The 25,724-nt window shown below is 46.3% G+C and overlaps 1 protein-coding gene across 7 annotated transcripts in view, besides 2 other annotated features; it reads right to left on the bottom strand.

The window, feature by feature from the left end:
- The window catches only part of ESYT3 (extended synaptotagmin 3), a 47,071-nt gene extending 45,560 nt beyond the window's left edge, over positions 1–1,511 (bottom strand). For all 7 annotated transcript variants that reach the window (NR_136409.2, NM_001322831.2, NM_001322834.2 and 4 more), the window contains exon 1: positions 1,002–1,511. Coding sequence is in view for 6 of the 7 variants with exons in the window: in NM_001322831.2 (NP_001309760.1) it covers positions 1,002–1,328 (327 nt within the window). In the remaining variant the exon portion in view is untranslated. The remainder of the gene's footprint in view (positions 1–1,001) is intronic.
- Positions 22,502–23,002: an enhancer, noted in NCBI's record as "H3K4me1 hESC enhancer chr3:138131967-138132467 (GRCh37/hg19 assembly coordinates)". NCBI's record gives its function as "activates a minimal SCP1, AML or CMV promoter by ChIP-STARR-seq in naive H9 embryonic stem cells {active_cell/tissue: H9 hESC(naive)}" and the evidence as "EXISTENCE:reporter gene assay evidence [ECO:0000049][PMID:30033119]".
- Positions 23,003–23,503: an enhancer, noted in NCBI's record as "H3K4me1 hESC enhancer chr3:138131466-138131966 (GRCh37/hg19 assembly coordinates)". NCBI's record gives its function as "activates a minimal SCP1, AML or CMV promoter by ChIP-STARR-seq in naive H9 embryonic stem cells {active_cell/tissue: H9 hESC(naive)}" and the evidence as "EXISTENCE:reporter gene assay evidence [ECO:0000049][PMID:30033119]".

The raw sequence follows: 25,724 nt of genomic DNA, 5'->3' as shown, positions 1-25,724 counted from the left end.
AAATGGGCCTTATATTTTTTTCTCACACCTCACTTTACAGACTACTGTCAGGAGGAACCTATGGCCCTGCTGGACTTTATAGGCCACAGGCTAGAGACAGTGAGGGGTCTGGCGACCTCCCCCGTGGGCCTGAGAGTAACTGGAAGAAATCTGAAAACGAAGAGCCCCAGCACCGGAGAGACAGTAAGGGTTTGCCGCAGACCAACCATTGGACGGAACACCCCTCTTGCCGGTGTTTCCCAAGCTCACCTAATCATAAGAATCACCCAGGATACCTCTGTGCCACCCTGGGAGTTATGCAATGGGGCCCAGAACTTGGGTTTTGTTAGGTAAGCCAGGACCAGAAGCGTTTGAGGAATCGTAGTGCCGCCCATGCCGCCCCAGGAGATGGGTTTGTCGGGGCAGTGTGCGTGTGCCGGCATCCCTATCCGGCGGAGGGAGGGAGGGAAGGAGGCCCGGGGCCCGGCGCCGTCGGTCTCCCAGCCGTACCCGCCACTCCACCTCCAGCCCCGCGGAGCCCTCCCCCTACCGCAGTCCAGGCCTCGGCCGAAAGCAACTGGGCCCGCCGTTTCTGTCACTGCGGTATTTGCCCATCTACGTTTTGCGTCCGGCGTTCGTTCTCTGAATCAACAGGCGGGTGGAAGAAATGCCTTCTGATTCCAACCCGAGTAAGTCTGCGAAGTCCCAGACGCCCTTGTTTTTCTCCCGGGTGTGGTCTGCCCGTGACTCTTCTCTCGAGCTCTGGGGCCTTAAATGAAACCCAAGTTCCCCACTCCCACCGCAGTCGGACCAGAGGTGGACGTGAGGGTGCTGCGCGCCGCGGGAGGGGCGGTCACCGTCCCCAGGGTCTGCGCCCCGGGAGCGGTGGGGAACGGGGTGTGCAGGTCGCCGGGCTCCCGCCCTGCCTCGGGTTTGCGCGCACCAGCTCCCCGCTGACCGCAAGTTCCTCCGAACCTCGAAAGGCATCTCCCCACCTCCCACTCCCACCCGGCTTGGCTCACCCAGGCTGGCAGGTGCTGGCCCCGCAGCTCGCGGCTGATGAACTCGCGTTCATTGTCAAGGAATTCGAAGGCGGCGGCCAGGCGCCCAAGCTTCCCGCGGCGGTTCCTGCGCCACCACATCCACAGCAGGGCGCCGAGCAGCAACCAGGTTATGCTGAGCCCCAGGTAGCCAGCTAGGTAGACAGGCCCCAGGTAGAACAGCACGCGCACCACGAAGGTACAGAGCTCGGGCAGCAGCTGGCTGGACAGGCGCAGCTCGGGGCCCGGCGTGCGCTGGGCTCCCAGGGCGCTGGGGGCCCCGGGGGCGCAGGGCTCCTCTGCTCGCATCTCGTCGCCGCAGTCTTGCCCTTCCCGAGAGCTTCACCCGAGCTTAGGTCCGCATGCCCCCACGCCCATGCGCATCTGTCTCCCAAGCTCGAGGACCAGGACGCCGCGCCCCCTTGCCCTGCTGGGACTCTCGGCGCGCCGAGCTCAGGGTTCTCTGCGACGGAGAGCAGCGCCTGGAAATGCACCGCGCCGCGCCGCGCCGCCCCAGTTCTCGGCTCCAGTGAGTCCGCAGCTCCGGAAGTCTCCGCCCTAGAGGGGCGGGCCGCCCGCCTGGCTCCTGCCCGCTCTAAAGAGCAACCAGCCGGTGAGCTCGGCCTCCGACCCCAGCACGTGGCGCAGGCGTCAGCCGGAGGTGTGCACTCGCCAGTCCGGGTGGACCAAGTGCTGCCCTAGGTGGTTAATGACTCACCAACACCTGTGTACAACTGGCTTATCATGGATAAACATCACCTAAAACCTGTTTCCTACACGCGGTCTATAATACACAGTATAGTCTGGACTCAGCTGGCATTCGAGGCCCTCCCTGGACAGGCTCAGCCAGGCCTCCCCAGCCTCAGGTCCTGCGTCCCGGCCCTCCAACTGGCCCCTAGAGCCTGCAACGCTGCCAGCTCCTCTGGCATCTGTAAAGCTTGGACCTAGCCCCCAGCCTCACCAAGCCGAGCTCAGGGCCCCTCCTGCGCGCCACAAAACCCTCTGCCCCTCTCTCCCCATCCTCTCTTCTAGGTGTCTGTTTGGATCGTCATTCCCTGCATCATCAGACGGGGAACTTCCGGGGACCGGCCCGTCTTGGCCATCTGTGGGGCGCCCAACAAGGGCAAGCGACCGGCGAATAAAAGGAAAGATGAAGAGGAAGCCCCGAGGTGCCTGAGAGTCAATGGTGAAGCCCATGGTTTCTAACCCTTTAATGATCAGAGCAGGTGGAGCTCCGAATCTCTTAAGTTCGGATAGTAAATCGTCTTGCGGATAGCATATATTTCAGACGGCCACATGAAAGGGCTCACATCAATTACTGGAATGTGATTTTGGAGTTGACAAATGTACCAGAGTGATTTGGAATGACTCTACTGTTTCAACAGCTTTATCGAAAGGCTGGAGCCGATGGATAGCAATCAAAATATTCTCTTTCCTTTTCTCTCTCTCCCTCCCTCCCCCCTCCCCACCCCGCCCCGGTCTCCCGTTCTCGTTCTGACTCTTGCTCTGTCACTCTCTTTTTCTCTCTCTGGCTTTATCCTCTCTCTTGGATAAAATTACTTACTGCAATGAGTTTTTTCAACAATACGTGAGTTCCTGGTGGTCAGAATACCTGGACCCTTCTCTATTGTTCTTGGCTTTCCAGGACTCAGCCAAAACAGAGGCTTAAAGTCCCCCAACTTAACATTCTCCCAGTGTAGCCTGGGAAATCAACGGAAGAAATGCTGCTCGCTGGAGTTCCTTCTTGAGAGTTGCATGTACACAGTCCTAGTAAAGGCTCTGAGAAGTCCTTCAGACAAAAAGTTATTAAATTCTATTTAACCCAGTGTTTCCCAGATTATTTGACCACAGAATTCTTTCCTCAAAATATTTCTCTATTGGTTAACCCAGGTCTGCTGAAGCAAAAGAGAGTGTAGGCTAGGGATACTGGGAATTCTCCTGGAAGCTGAGGCAGAATGTGTCTGGCTCTCAGGATGGATGGACCAGGAAACTAACTGCCAGAACTGCGCTCCTCATCCTTGTGGCCCTCCCTGCTGACCTGCCTGTCTGGTTGAAGTGCAGAACACAGCACTTTCCCCCCAACATCCAGAGATGGAGGACACAGGTCTCACCAATCCAGAGAGACTGCCTTGACCCTTATCCTGTCCCAATTCCAAACCCCTTGGAGACAGGATCCTGCTGAATCTGTCATCCCCTTCATCCTTCACACACAGCAAGTCCACACCTCAACCTGGGCTAGTTTGGGAGGGGGTGTGGAAGGTAGTGAGTTTGTGGGGGGATTACTAGAGAAAGGAAGGTTGTTGGTTTGTGAACTGGATGGACACCCACTGAGACAGATGCCCAGCCTGAGACGACCTGTGGGACATTGCCATCCCCAGCTGCATCGCCTTTCTTTCCTTGAACACATCAAGCTCATTTATGCTGCAAGGCTTTTGTACTTGCTGTTCTCTCTACCTGGAATGTTCCTCTTCTAAAACTTCTCCAAAGTACGTTAGGGTGATGGGATTATGATTTCACCCCCCTCCTTTTTAAAGTTATTTTATTTTTTATTTTATTTTATTTATTTTTTGAGATGGAGTCTCACTCTGTTGCCCCATCTGGAGTGCAGTAAGGCAATCTCAGCTCACCGCAACCTCGGCCTCCCAGATTCAAGCGATTCTCCTGCCTTAGCCTCCTGAGTAGCTAGGATTATAGACACTTGCCACCATGTCCAGATAATTTTTGTATTTTTGGTAAAGATGGAGTTTTGCCATGTTGGCCAGGCTGGTCTCGAACCCCTGACCTCAATCCACCCACCTCAGCCGCCCAAAGTGCTGAGATTACAGGCGTGAGCCACTGTGCCTGCCCCCCCCCACTTTTAAAACCTTATTTGTCATTAAATTACTCTCACAAATTAAATATATGAGAACATTGAGAATATGGCATTGAAAACTCTATACCCTACCTGGGATGGAATCTGTGCCTAGAACACTGGAGACTTTATTTCCCTTGACCTGGACATCTAGTTACTACTACCAGCAAAAAAATATTTTATAGATGGTTTGATCACAGCAAAACCTGGGGAGAATAATGCCTTCCACAGCCTTTGCCTGAACACATTTGAGAGTGTATCCTATTACATACCAACTATTGAAAGAACAGTAGCTCAAATAAATATTCGTTGGTCACTAGTGTGGACTGAATTGTGTCTATGTTGAAGTCCTAACCCTTGGTACCTATGAATGTAATCTTATTTCAAATAGAGTCTCTGCAGATGTAACCAAGTTAAGGTGAGATCATACTCAATTAGGGTGGGCCCTAAGTCCAATGACTGGTGTCCTTATAAGAAAAGAGAGATTCAGAGATAGCGACACAGAGGAGACACAGGAAGGGAAGGCCATGTGAAGACACACGTAGAAACCAGAGTGGTACAACTACAGGGGAGGAATGTCAAGGATTCCTGGCACCCACCAGGAGCTGGAAAGAAGCAAGGAAGGATTTTTCCCTAGCGCCTTGGGAGAGAGCTCAGCCCTGCTGGCCTCCAGAACTGTGGGAGAATACATTCCTGTTGTTTTAAGCCATCCAGTTTGCGGCACTTCGTTACTGCAGCCCTAGGAAATGAATACAGCCTTCTACTGAGTGCCAGGCACTGTTCCAGGCATAAGAGATTCAGGGTGAACAGAACCGACAGGCTCACTGCTCTCATGCAGCTGACATTCTAGTGTAGAAAGACAGACACCAAAATTTAAACAAAGTACAAGAAAACAGCAGGTAAGGAAAAGTGCTCTGCAGATAGTGCAGTGAGTAGGCTGAGAGAGAGTGACTGGCATGGTGGGCAGGGCTGTTTTAGCCAGATTGATTTGGAAAGTTAGGTTGAGACCTAAATTAAAAAGAAGACTGAAAATGTACATACAATTTTATTATTATTATTTGAGATGGAGTCTCACTCTGTCCCCCAGAGCTGGAGTGCAGTGGCGTGATCTCGGCTCACTGCAAGCTCCGCCTCCCGGGTTCACGCCATTCTCCTGCCTCAGCCTCCCAAGTAGCTGGGACTACAGGTGCCTGCCACCATGCCCAGCGCATTTTTTGCATTTTTATTGGAGACGGGGTTTCACTGTGTTAGCCAGGATGGTCTCGAGCTCCTGACCTCGTGATCCGCCCGCCTTGGCCTCCCAAAGTGCTGGGATTACAGGCGTGAGCCACCGCGCCCGGCCTTTTTTTTGTTTTTTTTTTTTTGAGATGGAGTTTCCCTCTTGTTGCCCAGGCTGGAGTGCAGTGGGACAATCTTGGCTCACTGCAACCTCTGCCTCCTGGGTTCAAGCAATTCTCCTCCCTCAGCCTCCCGAGTAGCTGGGATTACAGGTGTGTGCCACCAGCCCTGGTTAATTTTTTTTTTATTTTCAGTAGAGACAGGGTTTCACCATTTTGGCCAGGCTAGTCTCGAACTCCTGACCTCAGGTGATTCACCCTCCTCAGCCACCCAAAGTGCTGGGATTACAGGTGTGAGCCACAGCACCCAGCCTAATTTTATTATTTTTAAAAACTTGGTATCTCACAAAATCATCTCTCCTTTGGAACAGAAAGATAAATGTCCTCTGCTACGTAGGTATCATTAGTTTTTTGCTTTTGTTTTTGTTTTTGGATGGGGTCTTATTCTGTCACCCAGGCTGGAGTTCAGTGGCGCTATCTTGGCTCACTGCAACCTCCACCTCCCAGGTTCAAGCGATTCTCCTGCCTCAGCCTCCCAAGTAGCAGGGACTACAGGCATGCAACACCACGCCCAGCTAATCTTTTTGTATTTTTAGTAGAATGAGGCTTCACCATGTTGGCCAGGCTGGTCTCGAACTCCTGACCTCAAATGATCTGCCTACCTCGGGCCCCCAAAGTGCTGGGATTTTAGGCGTGAGCCTCCACACCTGGTGGTGTCATTAGTTTTACTTTTGTATTTCCATACAGAGCTAGAGTAATTTTCTGTGTTTGTTCCCTCTGTCTGACTGGAGATTCTTTGGGGGCAGCAGCTGTATCCGATACATCTTTCTGCCTCAGTGCCTGAGTTCGAGCCTGACCTACAGGAGGAGGCTAGGGAGCACAGGGTAAAATCAGAATCTCTAGCATTTGTTTGGGTTTAAATTGAGACTCAAGCACTTACTGACTCTGGAACTAGAGAATCTGCAGTTCTGTTTCCTTATCTGTAAAATGCAGATCATAATATTTATATCACAGAGTGGTCATGAGGACTGGGTCAGACACAATGTGTGTAAGGCTGTATATCCAGATGGGGAAGTTGTCAAGGAAGAACTAGGGTTTTGTTTGTATTGTTTGACTCTTTGTTTTTTGTTTTTTGTTTTTGTTTTTTTTTTTTTGAGACAGAGTCTTGCTCTGTTGCCAGGTTGGAGGACAGTGGCACGATCTTGGCTTACTGCAACCTTCGATTCCCTGGTTCAAGCGGTTCTCCTGCCTCAGCCTCCCGAGTAGCTGGGATTACAGGCATGCACCACCACGCCGGGCTAATTTTTGTATTTTTAGTAGAGATAAAGTTTCACCATGCTGGCCAGGATGGTCTTGATCTCCTGACCTGGTGATCCGCCCACCTCAGCCTCCCAAAGTGCTGGGATTACAGGTGTGAGTCACCACGCCCAGCCTTGTTTGACTTTTTACAACACGAATGTGTTTGTGTTTTATCTGTATAATTTTAAAAGCTTTTTATTGTTGCAAAATACGTATAATATTTACTATCCTAACCATTCTTAAGGGTACAGCTCAGTGGTATTAAGTACACTCGTATTGCTGTGTAACCATCATCACCATCTCCAGAACTCTTCTTGCAAAACCAAAACTTTATACCCATTAAACAATAACTCCCCATTCCCCTCCACACCCTCCAACTACCCGCAACCACCATTCTATTTTCTGTCACTATGATTTTGACTTAATTGATATTTGAAGGACTCTGTACAACAAAATGGCCAACCACCTTCTTTTCAAGGGTATATGATACACCTTATAATAGTCCAGATAATTAAAGGGTCTGAAATTATGGAGAGTATATTCTCTGATCACAGTGGAATTACATTAGAGCTTAAGAAAAATCAGATAATTAGAAAAACCCAAGATATCTGAAAATTAAACAACACATTCTATATAATCCATAGGTCAAAAAAGAAATCACAAAGGAAATTGGAAAATATTTTAATCTAATGATAACAACATATTAAATTTTATCAGATGCAGCTAAAGCAGTGCTAAGAAAAAAATTTATAGCTTTAAATGTTTGTTTATATTAGAATGAAGAAAAGCCTAAAACCAGTGATCTGCATTCCTACCTCAATAAATTGGAAAAAGAAATGTAAATTAAACCTAAAGTAGAGGAAAGAAAATCATAAAGACAAGTACAGTAATTAATTAAATAAAACATAGATCAACAATAGAGAAAATCAATGAAATAAAAAACTGGGTCTTTGAAAATATCAACAAAATTGATAAGCTTTTAGCTAAACTAAGCAAGGAAAAAAGAGAAAAGACAAAGTATTAATATCAGGAATGAAAGACGGGACATAACTATGGCCTCCACAGATATTAAAAGGATGATAAGGGAATAGAATATTATGAACAACTTCATGCAAAATAATTGAGCCACCTAGATGAAACAGAAAAATTTCTTCAGGGACACAAACTACCAAAGAAGAAACAGAAAATTTGAATATCCTTATATTAATTCCAAATATTGAACTTGTAATTTAAAATGTCCCACAGAAGAAATCCAGGCCCAGAAGCCTTTACTCATGAATTTGATGAAACACTTTTCTTTTAACAATAGCAATACTATACAAACTTTTTTTAAATATGGAAATATAGAACACTTCCCAAATTCATTTTATGAGGCCAGTATTACCTTAATATGAAAACCAGATGAAGACACTACAGGAAGAGAGAACTATAGACCAGTATTCTTCACAAACACAGATGCAAATTTAAGTAAAATTAAATGTATGTATCCATGTATCTCTGTCCATCTGTAAATATGTATGGAAAGATACCTGAAATGATGTTTACCTGATATTAATGATGACTGTTTCTTTCTTTCTTTTTTTATGAGATGGAGTCTGGCTCTGTACCCAGGCTGGAGTGCAGTGGCGTGATCTCGGCTCACTGCAACCTCAGCCTCCCAGCTTCAAGTAATCCTCCCACCTCAGCCTCCCGAGCAGCTGGGACCACAGACCTGCACCACCACGACCAGCTAATTTTTTTTTTTTTTTTGAGACGGAGTCTTGCCCTGTTGCCCGGGCTGGAGTGCAGTGGTGCCATCTCTGCTCACTGCAACCTCCACCTCCCTGGTTCAAGCGATTCTCCTGCCTCAGCCTCCTGAGTAGCTGGGATTACAGGCGCCCACCACAATGCCCAGCTAGTTTTTATAATTTTAGTAGAAGACTGGGTTTCACCATGTTGGCCAGGCTGGTCTCGAACTCCTGACCTCAAGTGATCTGCCCGCCTCGGCCTCCCAAATTGCTGGGATTACAAATGTGAGCCATGGTGCCTGGCCAATTATGACTGTTTCTGGTTGGTGATTTTTTTTTTAACTTTATTGTACTTTTTTATAGTTTAATTATTTTTAATAAACGTGTATTATGCAGTATAATAATTTTTATTTAAAAAGCCATAAGCAAATAGCCAAATTATTAGTTCTAGGTGATGAAAATATGAGTGATTTTTGTTTTTCTTTGTACTTTTCTGCATTAAAAAAAATAGGCATGGCCAGACGCCGTAGCTCATGCCTATAATCCCAGCACTTTGGGAGGCCAAGGTGGGCGGATCACGAGGTCAAGAGATCAAGACCATCCTGGCCAACATGGTGAAACCTCGTCTCTACTAAAAAGACAAAAAATTAGCTGGGCGTGGTGGTGCATGCCTGTGGTCCCAGCTACTCGGGAGGCTGAGGCAGGAGAATCGCTTGAAACCGGAAGGCGGAGGTTGCAGTGAGCCTAGATCGTGCCACTGCACTCCAGCCTGGGCAACAAGAGCAAAACTCTGTCTCAAAAATAAATAAATAAATAAAATAAAAATAAATAAGAATTAAAAATTTTAAAAAAAGACATGAGTTACTGGTTTCAGGTACACAGTCTTTAAAATGTTAGGTTGTTTCTTTTGATTTTTATTTTATTTTATTTTATTTTATTTTATTTTATTTTATTTTATTTTATTTTATTTATTTTATTTTATATTTATTTTTGAGATAGGGTCTCACTCTGACCCCAGGCTTGAGTGCAGTGGCGCGATCTCTCACCACAGCCTCAACCTCCCAGGTTCAAGCGATCCTTGCACCTCAGCCTCCTGAGTAGCTGGGACTACAGGTGTGCCCCACCACCCTGGCTAATTTTTGTATTTTTTTGCAGAGACAGGGTTTTGCCACATTGCCCAGGCTGGTCTCGAACTCCTGAGCTCCAGCAATCCACCTGCCTTGGCCTGCCAAAGTGCTAGGATTACAGGCATGAGCCATTCTGCCCGGCCTGATTCCTATTTTATACAGTGTTTTCTATTAGGAATGTATACTGAATTTTATCAAATGTCTTCCCAACATCTACAGGTATGATCACATGGTTTAAAAATTATCCTAATACTGAACCACACTTGCATTCCTGGTGGAACCAGTTTGTTGCACAAATGTCTACTCAGTAAGGTGCAAGGAGAAAGTGAACTTTTCCCATTGCTTTCCAAGCCCACCGGGGTGTGCTCTTCCTCCACGGGATGAAAACATGGGCCACTTTCAGAGTTTTTCCAATCATTTGTTGTCTAAGAACAGTTTCATTTTAGTAATAAAAAGCCCTGTTCAATACAATATTAAACAATATTAAAACTCCAGTCTTTTAGCTAACTTAAATTTCTCCTCTCCCTTCGTGCTGCCTTCAGCTGGGAAATCTGTGATGGGGACAGCAGCTTCACCTCTTTCTTTTTTTGAGATGGAGTCTCACTCTGTCACCCAGCCTGGGGTGCAGTAGTGCAGTGGCACAATCTCAGCTCACTGCAACCTCCGCCTCCCGGGTTCAAGGGATTCTCCCACCTCAGCCTCCCAAGTAGCTGGGATTACAGGTGCACGGCCACCATGCCCGTCTAATTTTTTTTGTGTGTGTATTTTTAGCAGAAACAGGGTTTCACCATGTTGACCAGGCTGGTCTCGAACTCCTGACCTCAAGTCATCCGCCTACCTCAGCCTCCCAAAGTGCTGGGATTACAGGTACAATCCACCACGCCTGGCCACACCTCTTTCCTAAGTGCTATTTTGGGGGCTGGATTAGTCAGGGCTCTCCAGAAAAACAGAATCATTGAATGCACAGAGAGACAGAGACAGAAATTTTAATAAGGAATTGGCTCATGTGATTATATCAGAGGTGTTTGAACCACCGCAACTCCATCTTGAATAGGGGTTGGGTAAAGTGAGGCTGAGACCTACTGGGCTGCATTCCCAGATGGTTAAGGCATTCTAAGTCACAGGATGAGACAGGAGGTCAGCACAAGATACAGGTCATAAAGACCTTGCTGAGAAAACAGCTTGCAGTAAAGAAGCCAGCCAAATCCTACCCAAACCAAGATGGCCATGAGAGTGACCTTTGGTTGTCGTCACTGCCACACTCCCACCAGTGCCATGACAGTTTACAAATGCCATGGCAACATCAGGAGGTTACCCTATATGGTCTAAAAGGGGAGGCATGAATAATTCACCCCTTGTTTAGCAGATAATAAATAAATAACCACAAAAATGGGCATCTAGCAGCCATCAGGCTGCTCTATGGAGTAGCCATTCTTTTATACCTCTACTTTTTAAATAAACTTACTTTCACTTTACCCTATGGACTCACCCTGAATTCTCTCTTACGCAAGATCCAAGAACCCTCTCTTGGGGTCTGGATCAGGACTTCTTTCCTGTAACAATTATGGAGGCTGAGAAGTCCCACGGTGTGCCATCTGCAATCTAGAGACCCGAGAGAGCTGGTGGTGTAGTTCAGTCTGAGTTTGAAAGCCCAAGAACCAGGGGAGCCAATGGTGTAAATCCCAGGCCCAAGTCAGGAAACTGATGTCCCAGCTCAGCAGTCAGGCAGAGAGAGTGAATTCTCCCTTCCTCTGGTCTTTGTCCTATTCAGACCTGAATAGATTGGATGATGCACCACTACAGTGGGGAGGGTCATTTGCTTTACTCAGTCTACCAATGCAAATGCTAATCTCTTCCTGAAACCCCCTCATAGATACACTAAAAAAAAAGTGCAACAAACTATCTGGGCACCCTGTGACCTAGCCAAGTTGATGCATGGAATTAACCATCACAGGGGCCCTCTGGGAGAGAGGAGAGATGAGGAGCAGGAAGTCCCTACTAGTTTGGTGCCACTGTTAGTTGGTGCTGGCACCCTCAGTGGGTGTTGCACTTATAGTTACGGAGGGGGACCCACTCCCCAGCACTGAGGCTCCCTCTCTTACAGAACCTTTGATCCAGGCAACACCTCCTCAAGTTGGCAATGTAGACTTCTCCCTCAGCCTCCTGGCTGTTCTTTTGCCAAGTGTGGGGATCCCTACTAAATACCACTCCCTTCCACAGCGCCCACAGGAAATATGCACATGCTGTTACCCAGTGAAGGCTGGAAATGCAGGCCTTCCTTCAGACAGTCCTCACCCATGATCTGCCACCACAGAAGGGCAGCTCCAGCCACAGCCTCTTACCCTGAGTTTGTATTAGTTCTTCTGTCCCTCAGGTCTCAGGAGACCCTCTTTTGACTTGAGGAGGGAGGGGAGGCAGAAGGCCAGATGGAGTATGCTCACTGACAGCGCTATCCAAAGATGTCCTCACTCTCACTCTTCAGCCTCTGAAGGAAACCTCAGGGTCTGAAGGGCCCTCTTAGGCTGGCACAGAGGCCAGCTGTCTCCCTCAAGAATGGGAGGACTTGACAAGCTGGCTCTTGTTCTTGGCCTTTGGGGTGTTGACCTAAAAAAAAAAACAAACTGAGACAAACTTTATATAAGTAGAGAGTTATTTGGGCCAAGTTTGGGGACTGCAACCGGGGAACATAGATTCAAGTTGCCCTAAATATACGCTCTGATTAGCAGCAGTGACTAGTGGGTTTTTTATTTTATTTTATTTTATTTTATTTTATTTTATTTATTTATTTTGAGACGGAGTCTCGCTCTGTCACCCAGGCTGGACTGCAGTGGTGCTATCTCGGCTCACTGCAAGCTCCGCCTCCCGGGTTCACACCATCCTCCTGCCTCAGCCTCCCGAGTAGCTGGGACTACAGGCGCCCACCACCATGCCGGGCTAATTTTTTGTATTTTTAGTAGAGACGGGGTTTCACTGTGCTAGCCAGGATGGTCTCCATCTCCCGACCTCGTGATCTGCCCTCCTTGGCCTCCCAAAGTGATGGGATTACAGGCATGAGCCACCTCGCCCAGCCAATTAGTAGGTTTTTAAAGGAAAAGAAGAGGCAGTTCCTAAGTTGTTTACCAAGAATTTACATTAAAATAACATAAGCTACTGATTGGCTGCTATACACTGTTCTTTGTTATCACAAATTCCAAGAACATGAAGATTAATGGATGAGGCAGCTAGTTAGGAACAAAATGCCTTTAAACAATCACTCCAGGTGGGCATGGAGGCATGCACCCATCCCCTCTGTGTCACTGAAGTCCCATACTCATGTCTCTCTGGGGCTGGTGAATTTTGCAAACCTCACATAACTCACACTGCTCAGAGTTATTTTTCTTTCCTCAGGGGCTTATGCCAAAACTCAGATATGAGGAAGAACTGCTTTCAATATGGCAGATTATTCCTTTTATATGCTGTCAGATTTATTAGTATTATAATGTTTACATCTATTTTTATAAGTGAAATTTCTCATTTATTTTCTCTGCTTGCTTTACCAGACTTTGATGCTAAGGTATTTCTAGTCTTACTAAATGACTTTGGGACTTTTCTTGCTAGTCTTTTATAGTTTGAATAGTAAGAGAATTGTTTCTTTGGGGGAGTTAAGTAAAATTTAGCAGTAAAATAATCTCAGGTTGGTGCTTTGTGAAGTGATAAATCTTTAACACATTTTCCACATTTTTCTATTATTGCTGAACTGTTCAAGTTTTCTACTTCTTTCTGAGTCATGTTTGGCAATATAAAATGTTATCAGAGAATCATGTCTTCTTTCTAGACTTTCAAATTTTGAAACCACCTTTGCAAAAATTATAAGAGCGAGAAAAATTATAACAGTGAGCTGATTTAACCCCTCCCCTGCCCCCTGGCACCCATCTTGCCTTTCCCTAATTGTTCCTGGGCTTTTGGGCCCAGCTAACTTTGAGAGATGTTTAGGTTATAGTTTAAATGATGATAGCCTTTCCCCAAAACTCAACCACCTTTGTAAAGCTAATGAAAGACCATCAGCCTAGGGGGCAGAGAGGAGGCTGATTCTGCTAAGGTGTAGACATAGATCGTCAGCCATTCCTGCAGATCACACCACTATTGTAGATTTGCCTTTTGCGATACCTTTTCAGGTTTTTTGCATGTCTGACACCCATGGCTCCACCTGGAACCACCAATTCTGCTCCTGTGGCCCCACCCAGAAGTGATTCAGTGCCTAGGAGGACAGCTTTGACCCCTATAATTTCATCTCTATTCCAACCAAACAGCAGCAAGCCTAGCCACTCCCACCCCTTCCCCCAGACCGCCCTTGAGAAAGGAGCTTTGGATGAGATTGATTTGAGTACTAACTCCATCTCCCATGTGGTATGGCCAGCTTCATGTCTACTAAACTGTTTTCTTTGCTGCAATGCTGTGGTCTTTCTTTGTGCAGCAGGCTGGAAGAACCCCTCAGGTTACAATTTGTTGCCACAAAATACCACATCATATTCTTGAATTAGTTTCCTGGGATTGTTGTAACAAATTACTGCAAACTGGGTGGTTTAAAACCACAGAAATTTATTCTGTTTTGGAGGCCAGATGTCCAAAATCAGGGTGTTGGCAGCATGGATCCTTCTGGAGGCTCTGAGGGAGAACCCACTCCATGCCTCTTTCCTGGCTTCTGTGGCTTGGCAATCCTTGGCATTTCTTGGCTTGTAGATGCATCACTGCCACACCTGCCTTTGTCTTCACAAGGTATTCTGCTCTATGTGTTTCCAATTTCTCTCTTCTTTCTCTTGTAAGAACACCAGTCATTGGATTTGGGGCCCACCATAAATCCAGGATGATCTCATCTTGAGATCCTTAGTTCTATCTGCAAAGACTCTATTTCCACATAAGGTCACATTCCTAGGTACTGGAGGTTAGGACCTGGGCATATTTTTGAGGAAAGAAAAGGACTCTCAGTGGAGGAATGTGAGCTCTTTGAAATTATTAGGCCCAGAGAAGCATTAAAATAAGACAGCAATCACGCCCTACTCCCCACTTTGAGCTGTGTAAGTGTAAACCAAAAATAAAATTCTAAGCTCCCAAACTGACTGACTGGATCCCTCCTCTCAGCCAAAGGCATTCCAAAGTCAGTATGAAAAAGTAGTTCAGGCCATGATGGTAAGGATGGGTTGGACATGCCTCACTATACCCTCCCCTCTTTGGAATTCAGGCACAGCCAATCAGCATTAACCTTAAAACAGAGATATTAAGAGTGACAAAACAGACTCTTTGTAGCAATAAGATACCAAATTCCAGACTGACTCTAGTATAGCATCACATGACAGATAAAGGCCCTGAAAGAAATCAAAGTATTTTACCCCAAAAATATATTTCTTTTACATATATTTTTTTTGAGATGGTTTCACTCTCGTTGCCCAGGCTGGAGTGCAACAGCGTGATCTCTGCTCACTGCAACCACCACCTCCTGAATCAAGTGATTCTCCTGCCTCAGCCTCCCAGTTAACTGGGATTACAGGTGCCCGCCACCACACCCGGCTAATTTTTGTATTTTTGGTAGAGACGGGGTTTTGCAACGTTGGTCAGGCTGGTCTCGAACACCTGACCTCAGGTAATCCACCTGTCTCGGCCTCCCAAAGTGCTGGGATTACAAGCGCAAGCCACTGCGCCCGGATTCTTTCACATATTTTGAAATAACCCTGCAAAGCTGTCTCTTGTGGGGAAAATCTATAGAACCCTCTTTCCTTTCCAGGTCTTTTCCTGATCCAGGAGAGTTTAACTAAGATTCTGGCACCTTTTTAGTTCTGATTAGAGACATTTACCAGCTATTCTCTCTGAAACCTGCTACTTGGAGGCTTTGTCTGCATAGTAAGAACGTTGGTCTCCACAATCCCTTCTCTTAACCCAGTTACTCCCTTCTATTAATTGCAGGTTTTTAGATAATAACTCTTTCAACCAATTGCCAATCAGAAAATCTTTGAATCCACTTGTGACCCATAAGCCTTCTCCCTTCAAGTTGTCCCACCTTTCCAGACCAAACCAATGCATACCTTACATGTATTGATTGATGTCTTATGTCTCCCTAAAACATATAAAGCCAGGCTGCAGCCTGACCACATTGGGCACATGTTCTCAGGACCTCCTGGGGCTGTATCATGGGCCTTGGTCACTGACATCTGGTTCAGAATAAATCTCTTCAAATATTTTACAGAGTTTGGCTCTTTTCATTGACATGCATCTCTTGAAACTACTTGCTAGGGCCACAAGTAGCTATAAATTAACCTATAACCCACACTCCATAGCTTAACAATGTGTAGCCAATCATTAATCAATGTTATTTCTGTAAGCCCGTGAGAATTCCTGTCATCACCTAATGGGTTCTTTCTGCCCATTATACAGACAAAACCAATTCACTGAGACTATGGAATTGCAATACAGAAAGAATTTAATTGACATGAGTCCAGCCACACAATATGGGAGATGGAGTTATTACTCAAATCAATTCTCTGAACATTTGGAGGCTAGGATTTTTCAAAGATAGTTTGGCAGGCCAGGGAATGGGTGCTGCTGATTGGTTGGGGACGCAATCATCAGGGTGTGGAAAATGGTCTTCGTGCATGCTCAGTCAACTTCTGGGTGGGGGCACAGGACCAGTTGGAGGGTCTAGGTGGAGCTATCATTTGTCAGAAATGCAAAAACCTGAAAAGACATCTCAAAAGGCCAATCTTGGGTTCTACAAGAGTGATGTTATCTGCAGGAGTAACTGGGGAAGTTGCAAATCTCGTCACCTCTAGAATAATGGCTTGTAATTGTTTACGTCTACACCCTACCAGAAGTCAGGTTCCCCTCATCCTTCTAACCTGGTGGTCTTTCATTAGTTTTACCAAGGTGGTTTAGTTTTGGGCAAAGGCTGTTATAATTTAAACTATAAACTAAATGCCTTCCACAGTTAGTTTAGTCCAAGTCCAGGAATGATTAAGGGCAGTTTGGAGGTAAAAGGGAAAAATGGAGGTTGGTTAGGTCAGATCTCTTTCACTGTCATAATTTTCTTACTGTTATAATTTTTGCAAAGGTGGTTTCATTCCTGACAAACAACTTTGTACAGTCCACTCCCTGTCCCCTACTTTGCCTTTAAAACTCCACTTGCAATTGCTGCTAATTGGAGTGTGTATTCAGGGCAACTTGTATCTATGCTTCCATGTTGCAATCCTCAAGCTTGGCCCAAATACACTCTCTACTTATATTAATTTTGCCTCATCTTCTTCCTTTTAGGTCAACATCTTCTTGGGGCCACTGTTCAATCCACTACACTTCTATTTATAGAATCATGACAATTTGGTTGACAGTTTCTGAGAAACATACAAGTTTACTTGTAATTACAAAAAATTAATTTTCCAGCAGCTTCCAGCATCAAGAGAGACTTGTTTACATAATGCACCAGATCCATTTTCACAGGAAATAAGTCTGTCTTTTCTCCCTTACTCTGTGTATGGAGGATCTGGATAGCAATTCTGAGTTCCATGAAGCTCTTTTCTTGGAGGGGAGTGGCAGGGAAGGAAATTAACTCTTCACACTTTCTGCCAAAAGCATATCTGTCCATTCGAGATTGTGAGCTTCCTTAAGTATGGGGCTGTACCTCTCAATCCTCCAGGTACCACACCTGCTCCCATCCCAGGCCTGGTCCTTCCTCAGAGCAAGGGCTCTCAGTGACATTGCATGTGTGTGCATGCATGCGTGTGTGTGTGTGTGTGTGTGTGTGTGTGTACATCTGCATCTCTTCCTCTCCTCTCTATAACAGGATCACCTCAATGTCTCCTCCTTCCTTGGAGGAGAAAAATATTACAGCTGTTGGAAACAAGATAGCTCATGTAACTTGATATTTTGTGGAGACAGCTGTCACAAGTCAGGGTTCTATTTGCTAAGCAACTGTAATGAAAACATTACATATTTTCATCGAGATTAAAAACTAAGACACAATAGCTTTGAGCACCATCATATTGGAAAAATGTGGACCACAACTGTGTCAGGTGGTGCACTACATCACCCACCAACCACACCACTCTTGGAGATGATGAGTTAGACCCACCGGAGTGCTGGAGGGAGAGATTTGGCACCATCTGCAGAGACGAATCCTGCAGCCACAGAAGAAGGGAAGAGGGCAGGCCAGTGGGTCTCATACTTCCCCGCACAGCAGCTTCACCTAGAGGGTGTATTAATGCACAGCTTGCTCGACCCCAACCCAGGGTTTTGGATTCAGTGGGAGTGTGGGGAGAATTTGCATTTCCTGTTAAGTTCCCATGAGATGTGTTGCCCTTGTCCTGGAACAGCACTTTGAGGACCACTGGCCCTAGGTGAGGCTTTGGAAACCGCCCTTTTAATAAGCTCCATCTGTGATCTAAGGCAGCATGCCCTCACACGACATGGCCAATGCTGGTTGCAAGTGAGCAGGCCAGAGCCCAGAGGTCAGGGTTTGGGGTCTCCCAAGGTAGAGGCCATGGTAGGACTGTGTGTGTGTGTATGAAGCCTGTGAAAATGGAGCCAAGAGAGTCTTTCTGAAAGCCCTTCCTGGGAACCCCACAGTCCTTGTGTCTACGTGGAAGGCCGGAAGCAGATGGAGCAGCCAACCCCTAGAAGGCACTGGAGGTCAGCCGGGAGGGGTTTGGGGTGGCTTTCAGCAGGAAGCACCCAGAAAGAGCTGGACCTTCGTTGGGGTAGTTTAGACCCAGCGGGTTCATCAGACAGTTCCTGAGAAGGTTCCTCGGCCTGGTGCTGTGCGAAGCATTTGGCAAATACAAATGGTGAACTTGCGGAGATCCAGACCCTGGGCCCCCAGGGTGCACATTATCTGCATATGGGCAGTCCTAGGGCAGGAAATCCTAGAGAGCTGGGCTGAGAACAGGGGCCAGTGGGTGAAGGAGCCTGACTTCTGATATCCTGCTTTGGAGGAGCTGCTGGTTCTCTCCCAGGCCTCTGGGGAAGCTGGAGGGCTTCCCTACAAATCGTGCGCACAGAGGCAGCTAGAAAGGGCCTGTCCGTTCTGTGATGCTGCCATCTGGTGGACGAGAAGGGCACTGGTCCTGCTTCCCAGGTGTTGGGTTGGCAAGGAAACCTCAACCGGGATAGTATCTACTGCTGCTGCTACTAGAGTAATAATGCTGATAATGCTTAAACATTTTTTTAAAGCAACTGTGAAGGAGCGAGCCCACCTACTATTCTAAGCTCTTTGAATGTGTTAACTCATTTAATCTTCACAACATCTCAAAAGTAAGTAGGATGTCCATTTTTCAGAAGAGGGAACCCAGGCCAATAGAATTGGAATAACTTGCCCAAGGCCACATGGTGAGGAAATGTCCTCTGATCCTTGTCTAGGGTTGGCATGGAATGGATCAGACACATTTGGGTCTGAGTCCTCGCCTTGAAGCTCGGTTTCTTTCTCTGAGAGAATTTTACTGTCCCCAGCAGGATGTAGTGAGGATTCTCAGCATGTACCTTGGCTGCTGTGAGGACCAGCAGGTGCCCCTCACACAAATGTCATGTCAACAGGTACCCCCCCGGGCTGTGCAGCCATCTGGCCCTGCCCAGCACATAGTGAGCCCTCACTCAGAAAGTAGCATTTCAGCTCTTTGCCTAAGAAAAAGAGGCATCACCTATCTCCTTTCCTAATCTTTGATACTATGCCCCTCGCAAAAATGTGTGTTACGTCTGAAGAACTTCCTTGCAGAGGTGGGTGTTACGAAGGGAGAGGCATTAACACTGCTTGAGCTTCAGATGGAGGTTTGGCCTTTACTTGGGAAGACAAGTAAGTTTGGTAGACAATGGCGAGAAAGCCTGGCTGGATATTTCCCAAAGGGAGGGGAGCACCCTACCCCCGTCACCACCACCCAGTGCAGGATGGAGGCACTGTTTTCCTCTTGGCTTCTACCTGGGCATGCTGGCCTGGGCTGGGGGTGGCAGGGGGGTTCGTTGTTGACCTTGACCCAGCAGATTCCGTGGGCTGTGGCACCAGGGTGGTTAGAGAAAATGGGATCTCAGTAGCCCAAGGGGAGAAAGTGAAAGAAAAAGGAGGAGGGTTTGTAGAAGGACTGAGGATACAAAACTCTTGTGAAAATTGGTCGTACAAATTGTATCGTTCTTATCATACCCAATTAAATCAGAGTAGAGAGTCTGGGGGAAAACACACCCAGGGAATATAACGTTGCTCCAAAAATGTAATTCTCTGCAAGCCTGGCTGCCGAAACTGCCTGTTCTCATAAACTGAAACCAGTTTTGTCTAATGGCTACTGAAACAGCCTGCTGTTATTCTAAGACTAGTTTTAACCACTGCCATCACTCACCAATCAGAACTTCCCCGAGACAGGGTCTCACTCTGTCTCCCAGGCTGGAGTGTAGTGGCATGATCATGGCTCACTGTAGCCTCAACCTCCTGGGGCTCAGGTGATCCTCCTACCTCAGCCTCTCAAGTAGCTGGGACTATAGGTGTGCACCACCACATCCAGCTAATTTTTAAATTTTTTGTAGAGATGGAGTTTCACCATGTTGCCCAGGCTGGTCTGGAACTCCTGGGCTCAAGCAATCTGCCGGCCTTGGCCTCCCAAAGTGCTGGGATTACAAGTGTGAGCCAACACATCCAGCCATTTCTCCTTTTTATAAAACCTCTAACCTTCTCTTTGTTCTTCGGAAGTTCTGAAGATCACTGGCCCTGAATTGCAATTCTTGCTTCCCAAATAAAATGTTAAATTTAGAGATTTATCTCTATATTTTTATTTTGACTTTGACAGCCTGAACTTGGGCTGGGAAAGGAGAGAATAGTCAGGCTGAGGGTGTTTGGCTCCACACCCTATCCTTAGGAAATCCATGGTGAACTTAGCATAGGGAAGAGTATTAGTGAGAGGATGAGCAGGGAATTTGGGAATAGCCTCCTCCCCAGCTCATAGCTCTGTAAAGGGAATTCCCCATGTGGCTCAGAATCAGCAAAAAGATTGCATTCCAGCCACAGGCTTTTTGATGAGGTCAGGGTATGTTATTGAAAAAGTGGTGTTGGGACAACTGGCTTAACACAAAGCTAAAACACCCTTCACACCTCACTCCAGAATAAATTTCCAATGAATTAAAGTTAAATTAACAATAGGCTAACCATGACAGAGAAACGACTATGTGCCAGTTATTGTTTCTAAAGCTTTCCATACATTAGTTTACTTAATCTTCAATATAATGGCATGAGGTATAGACAATTCCATTCCCTTATTTTATGAATAGAAAGTCATCTGGGTCAGACATGGTGGCTCATGCCTGTAATCCCAGCACTGTGAATAGCTGAGGTGGGAGGATCCCTTGAGGCCAGGAGTTGGAGACCACCCTGGGCAACATAGTGAGACCCATCTCTAAGAAAAAAAAAATAGCTGTGTGTGGTGGCACATGTCTATAGCACCAGCTACTAGGGAGGCTGAGGCAGGAGGATTGCTTGAGCCCAGGGGTTCAAGGCCGCAGTGAGCTATGATCACCACTACACTCTAGCCTGAGTAACAGAGCGAGACCTTGTCTCTAAAAGAAACATTAAAAAAAAAATTTAAGGTGTAACCCTAAAGGTATTCAAAGGAAATAATAATAATACTTGGATGAGAAAGGATCATATTAGCATTGTACCAAAGACAAAAACGATAAAGGAGTAAATAATAGCTTTGGACATTTAAAATTTTAAACATCTATAGTATAAAAATAAATCAGTAATACAATAAAAAAGGAAACTACATTCTAAGGGAAATTTTTGCAATAAATATGACATATAAGTGGTCAATAAACTGAATACATAAAACCAATAAATAAGAAAAATGAAATTAACAGAAAATTGAAGAGGGCATAAATAGGCAGTTTATAAGGAATAAAAATGGACAAGTCTTCAAAAGTCCATCTTTACTGGGGTCAAAGAAATAAAAATAAAGTAGAAACTAGATGCCCTTCTTTTGTGTTTCCATTAAGCAAAGATTTTTAAAAAGACGCTACCATCCAAGGATGATGAAAATGCATGAAACAAACATTTCTTCTGCTGTTCACGTTTGTGGTATAATCCTTCAGTACGTGGGTACAGCATCATTTATCTAATCATTCTCCAATTATTGCTCACTTAGATCCTTTAACGTTTTGTATCTTATGAATGTGAAGATCACCTTTGTTCATCATTCTTTGCATCTTTTATTACTTCTTTAGGAGAGGGTCCTAGGAGTGGCATTTTTAGGAAAGAGGATTTTAAACCTCTTGATACCAGATGCCAAATTGCTTCCTGTGAAGGCTGAATCTGTTTTGATTGACAAGGGGAGCTGGGCAAGAGCAGAGCTTGGAGTAGCCCGGGGACCCAGGAGAGGAGGGCAACAGGAGGCTGTTTTTTCGGTAAGAAGCATCTGAGGAAAGGAGAAATGAGTCAGGCAGGGGAGAGGTGGCAGGGCAGGGGCTATGGTCAGAGGATGGGGGAGGCTAAGCCTCCTTGCTGAATGTCCAGCTCAGAGCCTGCCCCACAAGGGAGGCAGAGGGGGTACCGCTGGACAGGCCAGCTTGGCCTGGGAGACGAGCACCCCACTAACTAAGGGGGGTGTGCCTAGCTCCTCCAAGCCTTAAATGACGTGACCCGTGCAAAGCACAATGACTGGTACATGCTGTTTGAGTAAATGGTGGCTGGAGTTACTAGTAGACACTCCAGAATCATTTACGGATTCGATTTTGGAATCCTGGCTAACATTTAAATAGAGTTTCGGTGTGCCAGCCACTATTTTGAAAGTATATGCAGTCATGTGTTGTTTGATGATGGATATACATTCTGAGAAATGCATCCTTAGGTGATTTCATCATTGTGTGAACATCATAGAGTGCACCTACACAACCCTGGATAGTAAAGCCTACTACACACCACGGCTCTATGGGATAGCCTACTCCTTCTAGGCTACAAACCTGGACAGTATGTTACTGGACTGAATACTGTAGGCAACTGTAAGACAATGGCAAGTATTTGTGTATCTAAACATAGAAAAAGGACAGAAAAAATAGGGTATTTTAATCTATGGAACTACCTTTGTATATGTGGTCTGCCCTTGACCAAAACATCCTTATGTGGCACATGACTGTATCTAATTCAACAATAGCTCAATATCCCTAAAATAAGTATGTTATCATCAATCCAGTTTGACAAATGAGGCAATCAAAGCATAGAGAGCTTGGACACGTTACCGAAGGTCATCAGCTGGCAGCATTGCTGGGCCAGACCTAGGCAGCCTATGTTCTTACCGCACTCCACACATCCTCTGTGCACCAATAATACCAGAAATCTCAGTAATGCCAGCCACAAAGAAGGAACTAGAAGTTTGGATGGTTTGGAGGAGGAGGGGTGGTGGGGAAGAACTATCATATTAACAAGAAAGTCAGTTGTAGTGCCTTGCATCACAGGGTCCATTTCCAGCAGCCTCAGCCACCAGGCTGACTCTAAGGAAGCAGGGCCAAGGTCAGGGCCGAGGGGCCTCCCAGCTGTGGGTGCTCCCCTGGGCTGCAGTCCAGAAGCCCCCAGACTACACATGAGGCCTCCTGGGTCTTACTCACTGGGCTAACTGCTGGGTTGTCCTGGCCTCGACTTCTCAGATGGAGCTGGGAAAGGCAGCTGGAGGAAGAGAACTGGAGGTGGTGTCCAAGGCCACAGCTCAGGCTGCCCCTGGAGGAGGCCCAGTGCAGACACTCTGGAAAATGACTGTCACTGATGTTCAAAATGCTGCTGTTGAGTCATGCAGAGGAAGTTGATCTGCATTCAGCTCACTTGGAAGAAGGCAGGGACGTGTGAGACACATTGAAAGATTTTCCTCAAACAAAGTTAAAATTAAAAAGGGGCGGGGCAGCTAGCTGGGACTAGCTCAGTCCTCAGTGTGGCGGGGCTGCTGGTGAATGGAGCGTGGGCTTCCAAGTCAGAACTGGGTGCACGTGCAGGCTCAGTCACTTCTGGTTGTCCCTGGACCTCAGTTTCCCTTTCTGTAAAACAAGCATCACATCACCTACCTCTCAGGGAAGCCATGAGGTTTAAATAAGGTAATATGTAGAAATAGCAGGGTGCCTGGTTTACAGTAAGTGCTCAACAAAACGTTAGCTGATAACTAGTTATTGTTGTGCATTTATTTACTGTATGCCAAATCCTCTGTTGAATGTGTAATGTGGATTACCTAATTCAGGGTTCTTGAAGTGTGGTCCCAGACCAGCACTATCCCATCAACTGGAAACTTGTAAGAAATGCAATTTCTCAGGCCCCAGACCTGCTAAATCATAAAAGCCTGTGTTTTAACTCCCAGGTAATTATGATGATGATGATTGCTAGGTCGAGAACCACCAGCTAATTTATAGTTCTTAGTACCATTATTATAGAACAAGGTGAGAATTTTATTCTTACCAGTAAGGTGACCAATGGTCCTGGTTTGCCCGGGACTGTCCTGGTTTTAGCAATGAATGATCAGTGTTTCAGGAAACTCCTCAGTCCTCAGCAAACTGGTTTTGGCCATCCTATTAAGAGCTGAAACCATATTTCATTCTAGGAAGAGATTATGGGATTATGGCTAAAGAAAGCAAATGAGGTTTAGAGAATCTAAAGGGATGGGTGTTGAGCTTACTGGGTGGCTGGTGCTGGAGAAGACAGGTTGGTGGAGGGTCTGGCATGGGGTGAAGGCCAACTGAGAGGCCCTGACAGCAGAGGGACCATCCCTGTGACCCCCAAGTCCCCAGCAAAACTCAGGAATGGTTATTTTTTCAAGGGACACGGTATCCCTAGGTTGCCCAAGCTGGTCTCAAACTCCTGGGCTCAAGCAGTCCTCCTGCCTCAACCTCCCTAGTAGTTGGGATTACAGGTGCAAGCGACTGCACCTGGCTAGGAATGTTTATTGAGAGTGAGTTTTCTTTGTAGAAACTGAGGCAGGGGCTGAACGTCAGAGTGAAATGGACAGAAGTGGAGGTCCCTGTGAGAACCTGACTTGGGAGAACTGTGTGAAGTCTTCAGTGGGCCTTGGGACTGCCACAAACCATAGGCTTGGGAATGGAGAAGGATAGTTTGAGCCAATCTGATTTAGATTTTAAGGCCTGGAGGCCCCTGTTGAGATCTGTAATAATTATTAATTCATTTGATAAACATTCAGTATTAACTTTGTATCACCAGGCCCTTCCCTGGGTTATGGATATAAAAATGGAAGAGATGTGGACAAATGAGATATTACAGTGGACTGTGACCAGAAAACCGACAAATCAAGCTAGACTCTGAGGGGACCCACTTTAATGAAAATATAAGAATCCCCCACGTTAATGAAAATATAAGAATCCCCTATGGTCAAGTGTCCATTTACACATCAAGGGCTGGGAAACTGATCCTTTATAGGAGTGGCTTTACAGACAGTGGCTACTCCAGGCAGCTGTTTTTTTAGTAACCCATGATCACTGGAAGGCATGGTATTCAGGAGATGAGATTAAAATGCAGCCCAGCTAGTGGGCTCAGCTCTGGCGGCACAGTAGAATCACCTGGGAAGCTTTAACATCTTGATGTCCGGGCCCTAACCTAGACCAATGGCACCAGACTCTTTGAAGGAGTGGTCTGGGCAGCAGAATTATTTTCCAGGCTCCCTGAGTGATTCTATTGTACAGCCTGAGTTGCGAACCACTGGTCTAGGTGGTTACAAATTCAAATTTGAGTCGATGGCATTTGCCTTCAAGTGCTTTTTTGACATTCCTCCCATCTCTCCTCTGCTCCCGTTGCCCAGCTGGGCTCCCATCCTGGTGATGGGTTGCCAAGTAGTCCTGGAGCTGCCACAGCACCCTGAATTTTCTTTGCTCTTTGCTAGTTTTGTACCAGGGTGTTGAGGGCCCGAGAGGCAGGGGGTGTTAACCACAGCAGGGGTGGAGATGAGGGAGTCATGTGCGTTACACGCTTAGTCACGCTGGGGAACTGGGAGGAGAAGGGCAGCCCGGCTGCCTCCCCTCCCTCAGGATGTCGTGGGAGCAAGCTCAGAGATGTGTCCACCAAGTGAACAATTTAAAGCTTCTTAGAAGTTGTGGAGTCGATGGATCTTCGCTCCTTTCATTTCCTCTTTCCACTCTCTATGGCTGTGAAACTACCAGAAGGGCCTGAAGTCAAAAAAGAAGGTTCAAGAGGCTGGTTCATTTTCATGCTGGGTGACACTCAGCGGTACAGTGAGAATCTGCTAAAACATGATTGTCTCCCCAGAAGAATATATGTATACACGGAATTTTGCATATGATTTGAGGGGTGTCAGCCACCCCACCTGTAACCCCATGGAGCCAAGGTTAACAACCCCTGTATGAGGTACCTGGGTCCTGTCAAGAGGCATGTGAAC

The sequence above is a fragment of the Homo sapiens genome, chromosome 3, assembly GCF_000001405.40.
Source record: "Homo sapiens chromosome 3, GRCh38.p14 Primary Assembly".
Classification (NCBI taxonomy): Eukaryota; Metazoa; Chordata; class Mammalia; order Primates; family Hominidae; genus Homo; species Homo sapiens.
Note: the sequence above shows the minus strand (reverse complement) of the source record. Positions and strands in the feature narration are given on the sequence as shown.